The sequence below is a fragment of the Homo sapiens genome, chromosome 8, assembly GCF_000001405.40.
Source record: "Homo sapiens chromosome 8, GRCh38.p14 Primary Assembly".
In the NCBI taxonomy this organism is placed as follows: domain Eukaryota; kingdom Metazoa; phylum Chordata; class Mammalia; order Primates; family Hominidae; genus Homo; species Homo sapiens.
In genome coordinates this window covers 98,348,071-98,368,549 of record NC_000008.11, presented here as the reverse complement: position 1 = coordinate 98,368,549, position 20,479 = coordinate 98,348,071, and the positions used below count along the sequence as shown (strand labels likewise).

General features: G+C 44.3%; 1 protein-coding gene and 1 long non-coding RNA gene across 3 annotated transcripts in view, besides 1 other annotated feature; one reads left to right on the top strand and one right to left on the bottom strand.

The window, feature by feature from the left end:
- Nucleotides 1-20,479, top strand: part of STK3 (serine/threonine kinase 3) — a 598,636-nt gene that overhangs the window by 574,061 nt on the left and 4,096 nt on the right. The window contains exons 13-14 of one of the 2 annotated variants that reach the window (XR_007060752.1): nt 6,420-6,853; nt 7,261-7,390. The exons of the other annotated variant lie outside the window; for it this stretch is intronic. The gene's annotated coding sequence lies outside the window, so the exon portion shown is untranslated. The remainder of the gene's footprint in view (nt 1-6,419; nt 6,854-7,260; nt 7,391-20,479) is intronic. 2 annotated transcript variants of the gene reach the window in all.
- On the bottom strand, nt 649-1,036 carry LOC124901988 (uncharacterized). Its single transcript, XR_007061024.1, has 2 exons — nt 953-1,036; nt 649-869 (listed from the first exon to the last, which is right to left on the bottom strand). It is a non-coding gene; the product is annotated as an uncharacterized LOC124901988 (long non-coding RNA).
- Nucleotides 9,375-9,669: a silencer, noted in NCBI's record as "tiled region #13929; HepG2 Repressive non-DNase unmatched - State 22:ReprW". NCBI's record gives its function as "represses a minimal TATA promoter and a strong SV40 promoter by Sharpr-MPRA in HepG2 cells {active_cell/tissue: HepG2}" and the evidence as "EXISTENCE:reporter gene assay evidence [ECO:0000049][PMID:27701403]".

Sequence of the window (20,479 nt, the reverse complement as noted above, 5' to 3'; positions counted from 1 at the left end):
GCAAGTCACCTGCCATGTGTTAGGGGTTTGTGTGGGAACCTGTGTGCTCCCATGTTAGCATGTCAAGGAACGGGGGCCCCTTTATGATCCTATAATGAACTGCTTCTCCTTCAAATCTCTGCAATCCTAAATGCTGGTTGGATGTCTCATTCTTCTTAACCATGTAGACATGTTATGGGGGCCCAGGATCCCCACCCACTTTTGAGAAACTGCAGAGACTGTTTCAGCGAGAAGTCCTGCCCTTTCCAAGTAAGTCAGTTTCCAGAGGACTCCCGTGGCAGTGAGCACCTGCCTCCATACCCCAGGCCAGATCCCAGCAAAGGAAGATAGGCTATAGCTCTTTCAGATTTCTCTCTCAGTAACTGACGTAGTTTTCACCTCTTTTAAAATTCAACATATTGCTTCTTGCAAGACTCAGGCAGGAGTTCCAAGTCAAACAAGGGAGAGAGTGTGCTGTCCTCCCCACTGCTGTTTTTCTCTGTTTATTCTGACCCCTGCAGAGTGCCCTGGGGCCATGGCCAGAGCTGTCAATGACACAGCGCAGATGTGAGTGGTGGAGTCAAAGAAAGCCAGCAACCAAAGCATTCAGCCCACTGCTTCTGAAATACAATCAGCGTGCAAGTTCATACATACATGTGTAGATATGTGTTTGCTTTTCCTATGAAAACTTTAATTAGCAAGAAAATTGCAAGTGGCCATAATCCTCCAGCCTTAAAGGCAGCCTGCATGCTGGTGCTGGATTTTTCAAGTCAGTCGGCTTCCTTCATCAATGTGCTTCCCATTAGCCAGAGAGTTGCCCCGAAAGGCTGTCTTCTTTCACCTGCCTCCTCTGAGGGAGGTCTACAGTTGCCTTGTTGACATGGCAGTCACTAAAGAGAAGGAGACTCTGGCTATAGCCTTAGTCCAGGCAGCCCAAACAGGGAGGAAGAAACCCCGCTCCAGCCCCAGGTACCTGGAGATGTGAAATCTGGGTCGTGATGGCCATTCAGTAGACAGGCTTGCTGTGCAAGTCCAGAACTTCAGAACAGCAGTTGGCCTGCAGCCTCTGAGGTTCAGCAGGGACTCAGTATGATTTCTAAGGGTTTCCTATCCTCATCAGCTTCCCATATTCTGGCCTTCCTGTTGCTCTTGGGAGCCTCTAACCAGAAGAAGAGTGGAAGGGGGAGCGATCCAAAGATTATTTCTATCCCTAAGCACTCACCCCCACTGACTCACTCATCTCCTGCTGGGATTCTAAAGCCAGGATAAATGGGCTGGGGTAAGGTTTGACTTTTTAAGAAAACTTTTAGCAACTGCTGCCTGCTTCTTATTCAAATTTGGCTGATGATTATTGAATACTTACTATGGGCTAGGCATTGTGCTAAGTGCTTTCACATATCTAATCTCACACAATTCTTATAACAACCCTGAGAGGGAGGGATGAATATCCCCATTTTACAGATGGACAGATTGTAGAGGTAGAGAATGCTGGAAAATGAAACTGGAGAGCCACCAACACTTTGGAGACAGACCTGAGTTCCAGTCTCTACTTTGTCTTTTACTAACTGTGTGACATGGGAAAGTTACTCAATTTCTGAGCCTTGATGTCCGGATTGGCAAAATAGGCATTGACTTACAGGGCAGTGACAAACAAATGAATAATGCATGTGTAGTTGGCATGCTGCCTAGCATACAGTGGGCATGCAATAAATTAGGCAATGATGACTCTTGGAAAGATAGGTCTAGTAGACGTGTGTGGGGCAAAACTGGGGAGGCTGATGTTGGACATGGGAGTCAGGATAGAAAGCCATGGGTTTTATGTGACAGTCTCAGCTGAAGCCAGGTGGGGGTGGGTGGAGCAGGAATAGACAGATAGATCAGTAAAACAGAATGGAAAGCTCAGAAATAGATCCACCATAAAATGGAGCTTAGTTTATGATAAAGGAGGCGTTATAAATTAGTGGACAAACTGAACCATTCAATAAGTATGTTGGCTTCCTATGTGGAAAACAAAAACAAAAACATTAGATCCCTACCTCACACCACAATTAAAAATAAACTTCAGATGGCTTAAGGACCTAAATGCTCAAGAGAATGTTTTTATGGTATGGAGATAAGACAGTAATGTCAGAAATCATAAAGGAAAATGTTAAAATTATAAACTTCTGGAAAAGTAAAAAACAAATTAAAAAGGATTAATATTCAAAAAATATAAAGAATTTCTTTAAGTCATTATTTTAAAGGACAAAGATTCCAATAGAAAAATGAAGACTATAAGCCAACAATTCACAGAAGAACCCTGAATGTCCAATATACCTATGAAAAGATGTCTGGGCCTCAACAGTAAGTGAGAGTATTTGGTTTAAACAAGGAAATTCAATTGCACATTATTAGCTTGGTAAAAACAGAAAATCACAACAATACAAAGTATTGGTGAAAATATAGGGAAACAGGAATTCAGCAGGTAGGAAAAACCATTTTAGAGAACAATTTTGGTAACATCTAATAAAATTGCAAACACTTGTACCCATGACTGAACTCTCCTCTTCTAGGTTATATCTTAGGGAAATTCCTGTACATGTTTTATAAATACTGCTTATAGAAACAAAAAAAAAATGGAAACCACAAAATGCCCACAATTGAGGATATGAGTAAAACAAATAAGTCTGTATGATGAATTACTGTACAGCAACTAGAAGGCATGGAGCCAATCTACATATATCAATATAGCTAGATCTAGAATACACAATTTTGAGCAATAAAAGCAAGTTGCAGAATATTATGTATAGGATGATACATTTTTTGAAACAAATTTAAAAACATGGAAAAATGTTATATATTGTTTATCAATACATTCATGTGTGGTGAAAATATAAAGACATGAACTGGGACACATGGAAACCATCATAGGGTTGCTCTGGGGAGGGAGGGAGGGGAACAGGACTGGTGTGAGGACATGAGATATTTTAATTCTGTAATGTTTTATTTCTTTTTAAAAAGATCTGAAGTAAAAATTTACAAGTAAGCATGTGTTCATTTGTGGTGGCAGGCACATGGCTTCTTTCAGGGTGATTTTTCCTTTTAAAAATAAGCATACCTGGGGTCACTCTGTCTCACTCTCTTCTTCCAGAGCCTGGCCCTCCCTCCCTTCTCTTCATCAAGGAGTTAGAATCAAGAATGTCATCAATCATGGGAACAACTTCTTGCTGTTCTTGTAGGACCTTTTTATCTTGTCTCTGAGACAGTGTCTTTTCTTCCCCTGGCTTTATCAAGGAATTTAACCTTTCTAGCATTCGTCTAGAACTTGTAGTAAGCGTGATATTAAAAGCAAAGCATCCACTCCAGTGATCTTGCTGGGAAAAAATTACATGATTTCTAAAGTGCTGTGAGTCAAACTCTGAAATGAAAGCTAGAAGACTACTGCATCGGTATGGTAATATTCACCCCAGAAGGCTCAGACACGTACATAAAAAGACTATTCACAGTGGTGTAGGCAGAGTTGTGGGAATGCACCGGGATGGTGAGGCTCTGGGGACCAGCAACAGCGGAAGTCATTACTACCCCAACGCTAAAGGGAGGAGGAGAAAAACAGTGTAAAATTGTGGTCCAGTAAAAACGGAAACTCCGGAGGAGGGGATGACTGGTGGCAACTGGAGTCATGCAGGGCAGCACCTAAGACCAGTACATGACACCAAAGCAGGGAGAGGGTGGAAAATCGGTGAGAAGAAATACCGTGAGCTATCTTTCCTCCCAACTGCTAACCTCTTCTGGGTGCCTCCCGTTGGCTAAGTCCAACTGGAAGGCAAATACGAGGCATTCTGGGAGATGTAGTCCACAGGAGTCACCCCGCATCCCCAACCTCCTCTCTCCCTAGGAGGGCAGAGAACGAATCTGGCATAGGGGTGGGGGAAGATGGAGAAGCAGCAGCCTAAGAGCTAAAGGAATCCAAGTCCTGGCACTAAGCTAGTGATAGCCACATAATTGCGTTTGGAAGAGCAGAGGGAGAGAGGCGCATGCTGGGGCATGCTGCCCTTGGACAGAGGTCACTGTTAAGGAAATAGAAACCAAAGAAGAGAAATATGGCTTGGAATTGGGGCTCTTACTCAGCCTCCGGGGAAACAGACTGGCAGGCCTCCCGAGACCCAGTGTGAGAGGCAGAAGGAGAGGGACAGGGGACTTCAAGATAGGCCCAGAGGGAGTTGGCAGCCAGTGGCTATAAAGCACCATCTGCTTCTTCCAAGTGGGAATTCATAGGTAGCCACGGCTGCTGAGTGCACAGATGTGGAAGGAAGCGGGCGGCTGATGGAAAGCAGGCGAGTGGGAGTGAGAGGCGCTGTATGTGAGACCCAGCATCTGCCGGATCCTAACGCCAAGACGACCCTCCAGCCTGAGGCCTCATAGGAAACTGCTTGTCCCACTACCCAGGCTCCAGGCTGTCTGGAGATGCCTCCAGGAACCCCAGGCTCGCTGCCTCCCACAGTGGCCCTCCAGCAGACAGTGACACCCACCAACTCACTAAGATTTCTCTCAGCTCCGGGCTTCCCAGCTGAGGTCTGTTTGGCCTGACTGTGATAGAGAGAACAGCGCTGGGCAACAGCTCAGGCCAGGGCAGCATCTTGACCATCTGTACTCCCCTCCCATCCTGCCTGGCACTCTTGAGTGTCTGGTGGGGTATATGAACTTAGAGGCTCCATACTATAGCAATGGCCAGTGGCAGAAGAAGGGGTCCTCAGGCCCTCCTCTGGCTGTGAAATCTCCGCGGTGACATCACTTCCAACCTGAGACTGCTCAAGTCAGGGAGGGATGAGATGAGACCAGGAGGCTCTGCCTCCTAAATCTCAAAGAGGTGAATGTCACTCAGCCCCCCTTGGGGCCTCAAGTTCTAACCAAGCAGTACCATGGCTAACCAACTGCAACTAGACTGCATGTTCCTTGAGGACTGGAGCTGAAATTTGGCTTTTTTCTTTTTTCTTTTTTTCATTCCAACAGAACATTTCCCCTGCACATATCTGGTACTTAGTGATTGTTTAATTTAATCTGATCTAGCCCTTTCCTTTCAGAGACAAGGAAACCAAAGCCCCATGATGGTAGGCATGGTCCTTGGGGGAGCACAGTAAGGGCAGAGCCTGTACCGGAACCCGGGCCCCTTCTTCCTTGTCCATTGCTCTTTCTACTCCAGCAGCATGAGTCTCCTTGTTATTCTGCGAAGTGATTTTCTGGGGGTGCATTTCCACCAGGTGAAGGGCATAGCATTTAGCCTCATATGTTTCCTGACCACTGGCTCCCCACCAGAGATAGATGGACCTTCTCTGGCATTGAGCTGGGTGCCATGGAAAGCTCTGAACTTGATTTGTTATAGAAAAATGCATGCTGCTAAGTCGGTCTCCCCAGTGGACATTTTAGCTACATGACTCATGGGGTCTTCAAAGACCCTGCTCCATTTAAGGCTGATCTATTTGCAAGCATGTGTAGGCTTTGAGAATTTTACAGTGGTTTGTGAAGAGGGTGGAGTATACATTCAGAATGCATGAGCCTTTCCTGGACTGTAGATAACATGGTATGAGTGTGTGTGAGAGAGAGACTGATAATGATTGTGTCAAAGCTTTTTAGAAACAGATCACTAACTCTTGTCAGATCTGAAATGATTTTCTGCAAATGGGAATTTGCTGACCCAAATTAGACCTGCAGAATATCTATCCTTCTGGGTTGCTGAGGTGCCCAGCTGTGGGAGCAGACCCAGGGAAGAGGTGTGGCTAAGGAAGTGAAGGGAGCGGCCTCTTCTGCACAGCCCTGGGCTTAGCTGTGACTGTGTGATAGGAATTTAGGTGGAAGCATCATACTTTTGCCCCACTTCACCCCAGCTTCTAAGCCTGTGCTGCAGGAATTTGTTTGAGGTAAAATAAATGGATGCTCTCCTCCCATAAGCAGCCTTTGCCCTAGATCTGGGGAAGGATGGACATTCCTGGCAATCCACCTCGGGAATCAGCTAGACGCTGGGTGGATGCAGATTTGACTTCAGGGAAAAGTGTCCCCCCACAGTATCGCCCATCACCCTGGATCTTCTAAAGCGCAGTGGATTTGTCTTGACCTTGGGGAGGGTAGCTTTGACCAATAGAATAATAGAAGCAGGACCAGCAGAGCGGTCACAGCCCCCCAGCTCAACCTGTAAAGGGAGTGTGCAGACAGTGGCACGCCAGCACCCAGTGTCTCAAAAAAAAGTGTTGCAGCCATTCTTGAGCCCACTCTCTCTTACCCCTCACATCCAAGCCATCAATAAGTGCTGTCAGTGCTTGCTCCAGTAAAGATCCAAACCGGGCATTTCCCTTCTCCCCACTGAGCAAGCTTCACCCAAGCTCGTCTCTACATTCTCTCAAAGGGATCTCTTGACTATTAAAATGAGCCTAACTTCCGCTCTTCCACCCTCCTTTGCTCTCTTCTAGGTAGACTTCTTTGTTGGTTAACCGACCTTCCTTCTGGGAGGAAGGAACACTTTTGCACAATCCTCCCCAGAGGGACATTTGCCACCTGGAATCCAACCAAATGGAGTCTGCCAGGAGCTTGTGCAGCATCTGCAAAGCCAGTTCCAGTTGACAGAGGATTCAGGCTGGCAGTGAGGACTCAGCTGAGATCACCAAACCCTTGGGACTGGCTTGAGTTCAAAATGCTAGGTGCCCTGAGCCAAGAAGCTACAGAACCCCCTTGTGGCTCCCTTGTTCTGAAGCCACAAGGCCACATGTTGAAGGCCTGTCCCTGCAGCTCTCTCCAACCTCATCAGACCAGCAAAACCACCTTGTTCCTAGGTCCTTTCTAGAAGCTGGTGTGCCTGGGGTGAAAACATCCAGTGTCCCAATGAAATATATGCCATTTATACAAGGTACGCTGCTTTGTCGTTGTTAACACAGAGAGGGGACTGGAGGCAGGCATTTTGAACTCATGACTTCAAGGCAACCCAAACAGATGTTAAAGCCTGACCATCCTTTTTGTTAAGATCATAAATATAGCTCAATTTATTGTAATGCTCAGAGGTGTCAGGCACTATTCTGAGTACTTCATTAACCCTCTCAACAACCATGAAATTATTATTACCTGCATGCCACAGATGAGGAAACTGAGGCACAGAGAGGTTAAATAACCCACAGGTTTACAAAACTATCAAGTGCCAGAACAAACTACAAACCATCAGCCCAGCACCAGAGCCTATGCCCTTAACCACACCATAATATATATATATGGGGGTCATGCCTTGTTTTAAAAAGAAGCACTGCATTTTTTTTTCTGCAGCTACCACCTCTGGCACCGTGGGCAGGAGGCAAGGCCTGGTCTGCAGAGTGTGTGGGCCTTAAACTCCCAGCATGAAGCTCTTCAGCCTCCAAGGGCGCTGGCCACTTCTGAGCACTCATTAAAGTCAGGTGTAAGTTCTCTCTTGTCCAGTCTGGTTGGGAAGGGGGGTACTCAGTGTAATCTAATACCTTAGTTTATACATTCTGCAGGGTTTTGGGTCTACAGGAGTGTGAAAATAGCAGATTATCAGACTGACAAAATCCAATTTTGACCTTGTGATTTTGTGTCCTGTGGAGCTTGGGTGCTATAGATGTGGAAGGTTGAAGAGAGTGAACTGAACGTTTAGGGACACTCTGACACCCCTGGAAAATGTTTTTGCAATCCATGATCTTTATTTGTTTATGGATCATTTTGCATAGAAGTAGCTGAGAGCGTGTAATCACATAGCCTCAGCCCAACTGGCCTGTTAACAAAGCTATCTAATCACTGGCATGCCAAGAGAGCCACTAGCCTTGACTACTTTACTTTGACATTTAGTTAAACAGAGATGATGCCCTTATGTCTTCCAAAATGGCTGCATCGTAAAATATTAAAGTAATGAAAGTGTCTGTGAGTGAGAGCTCTCAAGGAAGGAGGAATATTCCTTGCAAGTACAAACAACGGCCAAATGTATCTGACAATGAATGCATCATTTACAGGCCAGCTTGTGGCATCATTAAAAATAGATCTTACTGTTTGTTGGGGGCTTGGGGAAATTAATGAAAAAAAAAAAAAGAAAGAAATTGGCTCAAAAAGACATGGTTGTCTTCGTAGCCTTGGAGAAAGGAATATGATCATTCAGGAAATATTACTGAGCTCCCACAGTATGACAGGCACTGGACTAGGCATGGAGACACAGAGGGAAGAAGGTCCCACCTTTGTGGAGCGCAAGTTTACAGGGTGGATGGGATGGGCAGGTCTGCAGGGAGTTACACACAGTGTGCAAATGGTGCAAGAGAGATAAGCACAGGGCAACGTGGGAGAGAGATACCAGGTGTCCCTCCCAGTTTTGGGGAGTCAGAATAGGCTTTTCTAATGTAATAATTTCTAATTCAAGATTTGAAGGACAAAATGGGGAGAAAAGGATGAAAGGGGAACCCCCAGGTATTTGCAAAGACCCCGAAGGTAAGTAAAAACCATACAGGGATACAGCAAAGAGGGGACAGAAGAGACCATATGTCCCAGTTTATGGTGGGCCCTCAAAGATGAGAGTCTTGGCAACTTCCAGCCAAGATAAAGAGAAAGGACACAAGGTACATTACAACGTCCCCAGCACTGTTTACCCTTCCCATGCCCCTGAAAACATGGCACATTCAGGGAGCTACAAGGTCCCCAGGACTGTTTACCCTTCCCATGCCACTGGAAACATGGCACATTCAGGGAGCTACAGGGTTTCAGAATGATTAGAGCAGAAAGGGCAAGACCAAGAAGTGGCAAGAGATGAGCCTCTGAGATTTCCCCAGAGATGAGAGTCTGGAGGGCCTCATGACTTATATCAAAGATTTGGGGTATGCGAGCCACTGAAAGATTCTAAGCAGATCAGATTAGAAAGATCCTCCTGGCTGCTCTATGGAGGCTGAATGGGAGAAGGAAGTCAAGATCAGAGGTAGGCAAACCCATTAGGAGACTATTGCAGTGAGGGAGATCACAGTGGCCTGATTCTGGTAGAAAGCATTCAAGAAAACACTCATTTATCCTTTTCTTTCTTTCTTTCTTTTTTTTTTTTTTGAGCCAGAGTCTGGCTCTGTTGCCCAGGTTGGAGTGCAATGGCTTGATCTCAGCTCACTGCAACCTCCGCCTCCCCGGTTCAAGTGATTCTCCCGCCTCAGCCTCCCAAGTAGCTGAGATTACAGGCGCCCACCAGTACACCAGGCTAATTTTTTTTTTTTTTTTTTTTTTTTTTTTTAGTTGAGATGGGTTTCACCATGTTAGTCAGGCTGGTCTCAAACTCTTGACCTCAGGTGATCCGCCCGCCTCGGCCTCCGAAAATGTTGGGATTACAGGCGTGAGCCACCGCGCCCGGCACTCATTTCTCCTTTTCATCACTTCCTCTTGGGTGACTCTGTCTTTTGGAGCTCTCTGAAGTCAAGATATTTGCTTTTGCTATTAATATTCAGCAGGAATAGCGGGATGGTGCCCAGTTCTTGCCCCTGGGAGCTCACATCTCTTCCCTAGAATGTCGTAACTCTGTTCTTCAGCACAGGAAGGAAATACCATTTCCCCAGCTCTTTCTTCGGAAAAGTCACTCTTGATTTGCTTCTGGGAGATGTTTGTCTCTGGACAGGGCTTGGATTCCATGAGCATGTGCGTGTGTGCGCTGCAGTCCAGCTCAGGGGTGGCTCTGCTTTTCTTGGTTTCCTGGATGCCGGCAAAGTTAAAACAGTGACGTTTCCTCTTGATGCTTATCTCCACAACACTTTCTCAAAATGTCTTGCCCATTAACTTTCTAACAGCACCATTTTTGGTGCCAAGCTTCTTGTTTGAAGGCTTGGCGCTTCACTGCAGCAAAAAACAATAGCATTTCTGCCTGTCACTCCCCCCTCATTCCCCTAAACCATGCCTACCTTTCCTCTGAGTCAACACACGAAGCTATGCACTTCTTGAGAAACACCCCTAAGCTTGAGCCTGCCCTGGGTCCCTGGAAGGTGGCTCATGGATCATCACTGTAATGCATTTTAAAAGAAGAGCCGAAAATGCAGGGAACACCATCCCTGGAAATAGATTCCTCAAAGAAGTCACAGGCACTGGGCAAGAACGACTGGAAGCCCTGATAGAACCCTACACATCTCAGAATCCTCCGTGGCTCCCCATTGCCCTCAGGATAAAGCACAAGCCTACTGGGCATCTGTGGTGTCTTTTTTTGGACAGCAGGGTTCAGTTCTGTTCCTCCCTCTTGAAACTGCAGCATGTTTTTATTGGGTAACGGGCGTGTGATTGGACCTGCCATGGCTGCCTGACCCGGGGAAGAGCTCCCCCTGCTGGTGGGAAGTTCTGCTGCACCTTGGCCCCAATTGCCCGTGTACCTCACTTCACGCATTGTGTTCCTGGGGATTTGCACATTAAGCTGAATCAGCTGCTGAGTGTTCTTGGGGTGTGCACTTTTAAAAGGAAATCCGTAGCAAATTCTTGTGTGAGGCGAAAAATCCTTTTTGGAGCAAAACCTGATAGCATCTCTGCCCTTGGAATAATCACTGCCCTTCCCCATCCCCTCGCTTGTTGATGTTCTGAATGTTGGAGTTTATTGAAGGGGGTCTGTTGATGCTGGAGTTCAGGAAGAGGACCCTGGGCATGGGTCCTGGGGAAAGGCCACAGTAGCTGAAGCTGAGCCCCAGATGCTTGTACATCTGACATTTCCATGCTTTGCCGAGGCTCCTTATATCCTGAAGCTTGTCTCTTAAGGGGTGGATGTGTCTCAAAGTCTGATGAGGGGGTGTTGTTCACAGCTTCAAAGGCCCCCCACTGGCAGATTCAGCTGGACCCACTCACACATTTGGAAATGGGTCAACTCCTGTGGGCCTTGGCCAAATTATCAGGAGGAAGCAGAAAGGAGAAGGCAAAGAGAAACACGCCCTCCATTAGAAGGGTATCAACTATGTTACCCAAAGGGGTTGTGCCTATCACAATTAGAGTTGTTTTTCCTCCCTCCAGATGTTGTGTGTTACAGAGTCCTTTATTAGTAAGCACACACATGGCAGCCTCAGCCACATCCAGTGCCAGTGCCAGCCTTACACCTCCAACCATGGTGGCTGCAGTTAAGCATGAGGTACGGTGTGCTATGCACTGAGGTATGAATCCCGTGCTTCTGGGAGTACCATTCTGTGAAAATGAGACTCCCATTAGAGTCTGGACACTTGGCCCAAGAGAATCGGATTAAGCTTCAAGGCTTGATCTCTTTTGAGATTAGAATCCTTGCTGTGAGAACCCACCTTCAAGGCCAGCATCCTGGTTTTACCTGGAGACCCAGGCAGGTAAACCCTGGGTCATTTCCAGACTAGGCTCCTTAGGAGTCAAAGTCTGGAGACCCAATTTGCATCTCTATAGTTGATTGGAGTGCTGGATCCCTGCTAATCCAGTCAGCTAATAAGGCCAGAACCCACTGGACTTGAAAATTATGTTCATGGCATCTTAAGCTCAGGGCATGAAGGAAAACCCAGAATAAAAAGCACAAAGACTCTTTCCTTCTTCAATTCAGAGGGCAGACAGGCTACGTGCACTTGAAAATGGTTATAAACACCAGACCCACCAATTACAATTTAGGAGGTCTTATATGTAATCTGCCCAGTTCCAGATACTTTAATTCTATATCGCAGAGAAGTAAGTGCCAGCTGGCCACAGACCGACCACGCTCAGGGTTCAGTTCTAAACATCACTGTTTGGGAAAAGCACAATCTAAAACAGACAGCTCTGGATGTGTTTAGGTTTTGCTTTCTTTCCACTTTTAAATATTAAAAATTGACTCCAGCTGTGGGGTTGAAAGTAACGCCTAACCTATAAAAACATTGACAAATAAATCACAATGCAATTTGCCGCGCATTTTTGTGAGGTCTAAACACCAGTTCTTGAAAGGAATTTTCCATTATTGCATCTTGGGAAGATAACTTCTTCATGAAAAATTCATTTGACTTTTGTATTTCATAAAATCATCACATAGCATTCCCACATTTGGGATCTGCATGTACTGGAGCCCCCCTGGCTTTCGGCTTAGCTTTCCAGACTCCTCAGCCTGACTTCCATGAGTTTTGCAGGAAGGTGGGACAGCATTTGGATCCTTACCTGGTAGTTTAGAGCTAAGCTGCGCCCCCTACCCTGGCCTCTGTCCTTTTGCGAACTAAGCTGAGCGTCAGCTAAGAGACAGCTCTCTCTGAGTCTGGTGTGAGCACCAAACTCCCCTAACCAAACTCTGTCCATGTGTCCAGCACACCCCTGGGCACCACCCCTGTCCAAGCAAGAAAGAAATCTCCAACTTTATTGCTCCTTGATGCTTTCACTACTAGGAAACAGCACTTTCCTTTCTGAAGTAGGGACAAGGGATTCAAGGGGGACCCAGAACAGAGGAAGGAAAAAAAGTCTGTGTGACAGGCTTGGTTGTGAGTTAGAATCTTCAAGTGTCTTCTTCCAGCAATGCTGCTAACCCCAGCCCAATCTGCATGGTATCACCCATGGTAGGATAGGCATGCTGCAGTAACAAGCACTCACAAATCTCAGTGACATCTTTCTGCTTATATTCTGTCCATCACAAGCCCATTGCATTATAACATCTACATTAGGATCCAACTGATGGAGCAACCGCCATCTGAAACATTACCAATGATCACGGAAGAAGGAAAGAACCATCTTAGAAGCCCCTTCACCAGTAATTAAATGCCATAATGACCAGAACTGGTTACATAGCGCCATCCAACCTCAGGGGACCAGGAAATAAAATTCTACCCATCCAGAAAGCAGAGAGCTGGAAAGATTTGGTGATTGGCATTGATGGGTATTACATCCATCTTGTCTACCTACAATATCTGGTGGTCCTTCTGCAGTATCTATACTGGGCAGTGACCCTTCTGGGCCCTGGCCTCAGTAAGATCACAGCCTTGGGAGTATAGCTATGGGGACCAGGAAGCTAGTATGTATCAAGTGCAGTCAAGCTTATAGCAGATGCCCTCTTGGGGTGTCTGCCCAGTTCCTGCACTTCTTCTCTGAGTGCTACACCCAAACTTCTCATAGAGATGCCCCCAGCAGTTGCTATCATGTAGGTACTACACAGCCCTCCTCGACCCAGTTTATTGGATCAGAGGAATGTACTTAACTAAAGCAGAGCCAGTATCACTCTCAGAAATTTAGAAATGTGGTTCAGAAACAGCTAGTCTGTATGGTGCATGTCAGTTGGAGAGCTTGGGCAAAGCCATTTTCTGCCACATGCAAAGAAAGTTGTACAGCAGAGCAGGAAGAATGAGCCAGACATGCAGAGAGGAGTAGGTATAAGTAACCATGTGGAGAGAGAGAAAATTCCAGCCTCATCTTAGCACACAGACACGTAATACCAGAACAAAATTAACACTTTGTTGGCAAGGGAGAAGGAGTGCTGTACAGGCAAATAAAAGTGTCTACCACAGAGGTTAATTACCTAGGCCTAGGGCATTGAGAGTCTGGAAGATTCCTATTGAAATACTGACACTCTTGGCAGGTTGCGGTGGCTCATGCCTGTAATCCCAGCACTTTGGGAGGTTGATCCCAGCAGGCGGGTCACCTGAGGTTAGGAGTTCGGGACCAGCCTGACCAACATGGTGAAACCCCATTTCTACTAAAATACAAAAATTAGCCAGGCGTGGTTGCAGGCGACTGCAATCCCAGCTACTCGGGAGGCTGAGGCAGGAGAATCGCTTGAACCTGGCAGGCGGAGGTTGCATTGAGGCGAGATTGCACCACTGCACTCCAGCCTGGGTGACAGAGCCAGACTTCGTCTCAAAAAAGAAAAAAGAAATACTCACACTCCTGCAAAAGTAATACCTGCTGCCATTACTCACTATAGTGCTCTGTGTTTATCAGTTTAGGCAGCCATTTGATGATGTCCTTAGGGGAAAGAGCCCAGGATTTGCCTATTTTACCAGATTGGAATGTATGGGGGTTATAACAATGAGGAGAATAGTCAATTGTATATAACAGAAAACCTCCAAATAACTGTGGATTCTTTCTGTTTCACACAAATCTAGAGGTAGGTAGCCTGAGGCCAGCACAGCAAGTTGATGAAATCATCACCGACACTGTTTGTTCCCCTAGTTTTCTCTGCTCTGCCTTCCCTTTAAACGTCTCATTCTCATGTTCTAAGATGGCTGTAGGAGTCCACCATATTCTTGTTTCTGGAAGCTGGTGAAGGAAGGAGAGGAGGGTGTGTCCTCTTCTTTTAAGACTTCTCAGAAGTCTCATTGGCCAGAGCTTAGTCCTTGGATGAGGAAGGTAGAAAAATCTGCCCAAGAAGCCCTTCCTAAATGGTGCTTCCAGTAAAATTAGCTCCATTACCCTGGCTCCAACTAATTGGACCAGGACTTAGGACCTAAATCAAGACAACCATTGGTAGACCAGACTTGAGGAAAGTTTATCTTGAAAGTAAGTTGATTTGAAATTTCACCTGGTTGAGCTTTTCTTTCCAGTGGGGGCTTTCCATAAATGAATGGTGACATAAAGACCAGATCAGATCCTCTCTTTAGGACACCACACAAAGGGAAGGGGGGCACACAGGCTCAGGCCTGCCCCAAATGGTGCCAAGCTATTGCTCCACAGCTCTATGAGTTCTTTTTTTTAAAAAAATATATTACTAGAGTTGAGTCTTGTTATGTTGTCCAGGCTGGAGTGCAGTGGCAGTGGTCACTATTATTTCTGTCTGCCCAGAGAACAACAAAAGTATGTTTTTCCCATACCTCTCCTCCTGGTTCCTTTGGTCTCTATACCCATACCTATTATATCTACCTATACCTATATCTACTACATCTACCTATATTTGTTCATTCATTAGAAACTGCAAGTTGGTGATATCCTAATTTTCATTTATCAGTTGGGAAATGCTTTTATAGAGAGATTATTGCCTTCATCTGCTACATGTTGAATATCCCTCATCTGAAATGGTTAAGACCAGAAGGGTTTCAGATTTCAAAGTTTTTTGGATTTTGAAATATTTGCATATACATAATGAGATATCTTGGGAATAAGACCCAAGTCTAAACACAAAATTCACTTATGTTTCATATATACCTTACTATTATTATTTTTATTTAGAAACAGGGTCTCACTCTGTCACCCAGGCTGGAGTGCAGTGGTGCAATGACAGCTCACTGCAGCCTCGACATCCCTGGCTTAAGTGATCCTCCCGCCTCAGCCTCCCAAGTAGCTGGGACCACAGGCATGCACAACCACACCCAGATAATTTTTCTTTCTTTTTTGTTTTTGTTTTTTTGTAGAGATGGAGGTCTCCTTATGTTGCCCAGGTTGATCTTGTACTCCTGGGCTCAAGTGATCCTCCTGTCTCTGCCTACCAAATTGCTAGGATTACAGGCATGAGCCACCACACCCAACCTATGTTTCATATACACCTTATGCACATAATCTGAACGTAATTTTATATAACATTTTAAATAATTTTATGCATGAAACAAAATGTGTGTACATTGAATCATCAGAAAGCAAAGAATCACTATCTCAGCCATCCATATGGACAATCAGTGGTTGCTTGGCATCACCATCATTCCTGACTCTGAATGTATATGCTACCAATAAGCAATCATTTTCCCACACTTATTCATGCATAAATACTTAGCAAAAAGTATATCATTGACACAGTGAAAAAATATGTGTTCAGGGTAACTAAGCAGCACAGTAGCATCACCAGAATACAGGCATCAGCTATGAAACAGCAGTAACAACAAAGGTAGACTTCAGTCTCCACCTAAGATGCTGTATTTTGGTTAAAAGGTTACTGTACATTGTTTTTTTTTTCTTTTAGGTAAGAAGGAACATCAGAAGTAGCTGAGGGACCAGGATATAGGTCTGCTAGGGATGAGAAAACATTCTGCTGGATGACTTTTTAAAATGTTTCTTCGAGAGTCATCTGCCTCATTAATTACAGTTTTTGTCTTGCAAGTCTCTCTTTGATGTTACAAACTGCCTTTATTTCTTGTTCTGTTGTGAATGCATGCTGCTGTAGTCCCTCAATAAGCCCACCACACATTTTCAGCAAGTCATCCATAGGCATTTTTTCTGCAGTGTTAACAATGCCATCGTCATTCACTTGCATCATGTTGGAGCTCAGAAAGCTTTGGATTCTGGAGTATTTTGGATTTCAGATTTTCAGATTAGGGATGCTCAACCTGTATGTGTGCTCACAGGTACAGTTCATATGGGGAAAGCAGGATCAGTCAACAGCCCACCTCCTCTTTAGATGACTAATTCTTTCAAAAATTTTAAAGACCATTGTGAATTGTGGATTTAAACATGTGTAATGACTTTCATTCCCTTGAAATTATTGTTGTTGAAGCCAAAATGTTCCTATCTTTTGTTATGGGATTCTCTACAATTTGGCTGTTGAGGCCTTTTGTCAGAACTCCAGTAGTCTCTTTTTTTTTTTTTTTTTTTGAGACAGAGTCTTTCTCTGTCACCCAGGCTGGAGTGCAGTGGCGCGATCTCAGCTCACTACAAGCTCCATCTCCCGGATTCACACCATTCTCCTGCCTCAGCCTCCCAGGTAGCTGGGATCTGGCTAATTTTTGTATTTTTAGTAGAGACGGGGTTTAACCGTGTTAGCCAGGATGGTCTCGATCTCCTGACCTCATGATCCACCCACCATAGCCTCCCAAAGTGCTGGGATTACAGGCGTGAGGCACCACGCCCAGCCAAACCCCAGTAGTCTTTAATAGCTTCCTTGCTGACTGGTGTGACAAATTGTTCCTCTTGGACACTTTCTAACTTGGATTTGGAATTAGCCATTTCTCTAAGGAGATTTGCATCTTTTGAGTAAAAATTGGTATTTCAGAATCAGCCTGAATGCTAGGGATGTCCCTTGCTACTAGGTTGATCATTGTTTCTAGACCTTTTCAGTGAATGGAGGTGGGGGTTGCAGAGGGAATACATGTATATAGTCCCTCTGCAGCCCCCAGCTCTGTTATATAGCAGAGAAAGCATATTTGATGACAGAACTTTTATTAACCTCTTTCATCTATATATCCTTTCTTCCATGCCAAGAATCCTATTCTCAAGGACACAGAGGATGATAGAATTAGAATATCCTACAATTACTCATTTGTTTTATCCCATATTGCATACACAGCAGACTCAGAATAAAATACTAATCCTACCATCATTATTATGACCAAAAACATTTTAAAAGTGTTTTACATAAGATCTCTCGATCCACCCCACTTAAAAAAATAGTTGTACTATGTCTCCATTGTCAGGACATGGAGCCATTATACACTTTATCATTAGCACTCATTTAGTCTTAGTTTCACAAGTAACTGTGTATTTAATGCTCTACACGAATCTCTCTCTAGTTATTTTGGTTACCCAAGGTTTGTGCTCTAGAAGACTTCTTAGGAGGGACTTATGGAGCCAGTTTCCCTAAGTTGTTGATAAACAGTATGTCTGTACCCTTTATGTTTATGTTGAAAGTCAGTTTTGCTGAATATACAGTTTTGGGCTCACATTTTCTGTCTTGGATACCTTAAATATGTTATTTCATTTTCTTCTGGCAAAAAGTGTGATAATAATCTAATTTTCTTTCTTTTTCATGCCACGTACTCTTTTTTTCTAGATGCTCAAAGTATTTTTCTTTCTCTGTAAAGTCCTGCAATTTTATTAGAGTGTATCTTAAAGTTGGTCATTGATACAGTTGTGCTGTGTACCCACCCAAATCTCATTTTGAGTTGTAGCTCCCATAATTCCCACATGTTGTGGGAGGGACCCAGTGGGAGATAACTGAATCATGGGGGCAGTTTCCCCCATACTGTTCTCATGGTAGTGACTAAGTCTCACAAGATCTGATTATTTTATAAGGGGAAATCCCTTTCATTTGGCTCTCATTCTCTTATCTTGTCTACCATCACAAGATGTGCCTTTCACCTTCTGCCATGATTGTGAGGCCTCCTCATCCACGTGGAACTGTGAGTCCATTAAACCTCTTTCTTTTGTAAATTTCCCAGTCTCAGGTATGTCTTTATCAGCAGTGAAAAAATTGACTAATACAGTAAATTGGTACCAGTAGAGTGGGGCACTGCTGAAAAGATACCCGAAAATGTGGAAACAACTTTAGAAGTGGGTAACAGGCAGAGTTTGGAACAGTTTGGAGGGCTCAGGAGAAGACAGGAAAATGTGAGACAATTTGGAACTTCCCAGAGACTTTTTGAATGGCTTTGACCAAAATGCTGATAATGATACAGACAATGAAATTCAGGCTGAGATGGTCTCAGATGGAGATAAGGAACTTGTTGGGAACTGGAGCAAAGGTGACTCTTGTTATGTTTTAGCAAAGAGACTGGTGGCATTTTGCCCCTGCCCTAGAGATTTGTGGAACTTTGAACTTGAGAGAGATGATTTAGGGTATCTGGCAGAAGAAATTTCTAAGCAGCAAAGCATTCAAGAGGTGACTTGGGTGCTGTTAAAGGCATTCAGTTTTATAAGAGAAGCACAGCATAAAAGTTCGGAAAAATTGCAGCCTGACAATGCAATAGAAAAGAAAATCCCATTTTCTGAGGAGAAATTCAAGCTGGCTGCAGAAATTTGCATAAGTAACATGGAATCAAATGTCAACCACCAAGACAATGTGGAAAATGTCTCCAGGGCATGTCAGAGACCTTTGTGGCAGCCCCTCCCATCACAGGCCTGGAGGCCTAGGAGAAAAAAATGGTTTCATGGGTTGGGCCTAGGGTCCCTCTGCTGTGTGCAGTCTAGGGATTTGGTGCCCTGTGTCCCAGCTGCTCCAGCCATGACTAAAAAGGGCCAATGTACAACTCAGGCCATGGCTTCAGAGGGTGCAAGTCCCAAGCCTTGTGGTGTTGAGCCTGCAGGTACACAGAAGTCAAGAATTGAGGTTTGGGAACCTCAGCCTAGATTTCAGAGCATGTATGGAAATGCCTGGATGTCCAGATAGAAGTTTGCTGCTGGGGTGAGGTATTCATAGAGAACCTTTGCTAGGGCAGTGCAGAAAGGAAATGTGGAGTGGGTCCCCCATAGAGAGTCCCCACTGGGGTGCTGCCTAGTGGAGCTGGGAGAAGAGGGCCACCATCCTCCAGAGCCAGAATGGTAGATCCACCAACAGCTTACCCTGTGCACCTGGAAAAGCCATGCTCAACACCACCCTGTGAAAGCAGCTGGGAGGGAGGCCACACCTTGCAAAGCCACAGGGGCAGAGCTGCCGAAGACCATGGGAGCCCACCTCTTGCATCGGCATTACCTGGATATAAGACATGGAGTCAAAGAGTAGTTTCACTGCCCTACAAATCCTCTATACCTCTCCTTTTCATCTCTCCCTCTCCCAACCCCTGATGACCACTGATCTTTTTACCATCTCTGTAGTTCTGCCTTTTCTAGAATGTCATATAGTTGGAATCAAAAGTATGCAGCCTTTCAGACAGGCTTCTTATAGGAATACACATTTAAGTTCCCTCTATGTGTTTTCATGACTTAATAGCTCATTTCTCTTTAGCACCAAATAATATTCTATTGTCTGGATGTACCACCATTTATTTATCCATTCACCTACTGAAGGACATCATGGTTGCTTCCAAGTTTGGGCAATTATAAATAAAGCTGCTATAAACATCATGCACAGATTTTTGCATGAACATAAGTTTTCAACTTCTTTTGGTAAATACCAGGGAGCATTATTGCTGTATTGTTTGGTAAGAGTATGTTTAGTTTTGTAAGAAACTGCCAAAATACCTTCCAAAGTGACTGTACCATTTTACATTTCCACAGCAATGAATGAGAGTACTTGTTGCTCCACATCCTTGTCAGCATTTGGTGTTATCAGTGTCTTGAATTTTCAACATTCTAATCAATGTCTCATTGCTGTTTTAACTTGAAATTCCCTAATGACATATAATGTTGAACATCTTTTCATACACTTATTTGCCATCTGTATATTTTTGTTGAGATGCTTGTTCAGATCTGTTGCCCACTTTTAAATCAGGTTGTTTGTTTTCTTAATGTTCAGTTTTAAAATTCTTGGTGTATTTTGGATAACTGCCCTTTATTAAATGCGTCTTTTGCAAATATTTTCTCCCCATCTGTGGTTTGTCTTCTCATTCTCTTGACAATGTCTTTTGCAAAGCAGAAGTCTTTAATTTTAGTAAACACCAGTTTATCAATTCTTTGTTTCATGGATTGTGGTTCTGGTGTTGCATCTAAAAGTTATTGCCAAATCCCAGGTCATCTAGATTTTCTTTCTTTCTTTTTCTTTTATTAACTCTTCTAGTTTTATAGTTTTGGATTTTACATTTAAGCTTATGATCCATTTTGAGCTACTGTTTGTGAAGGATGTAAAGTCTTTGTCTAGTTCCATCTTTTTATATATGGATATCCAATTATTCCAGTATCATTTGTTGAAAAGACTGTCTTTTCCTCATTGCATTGCCTTTGCTCATTTGTCAAAGATTAGTTAACTATATTCATGAGGGTCTATTTATGAGCTCTCTATTCAATTCCA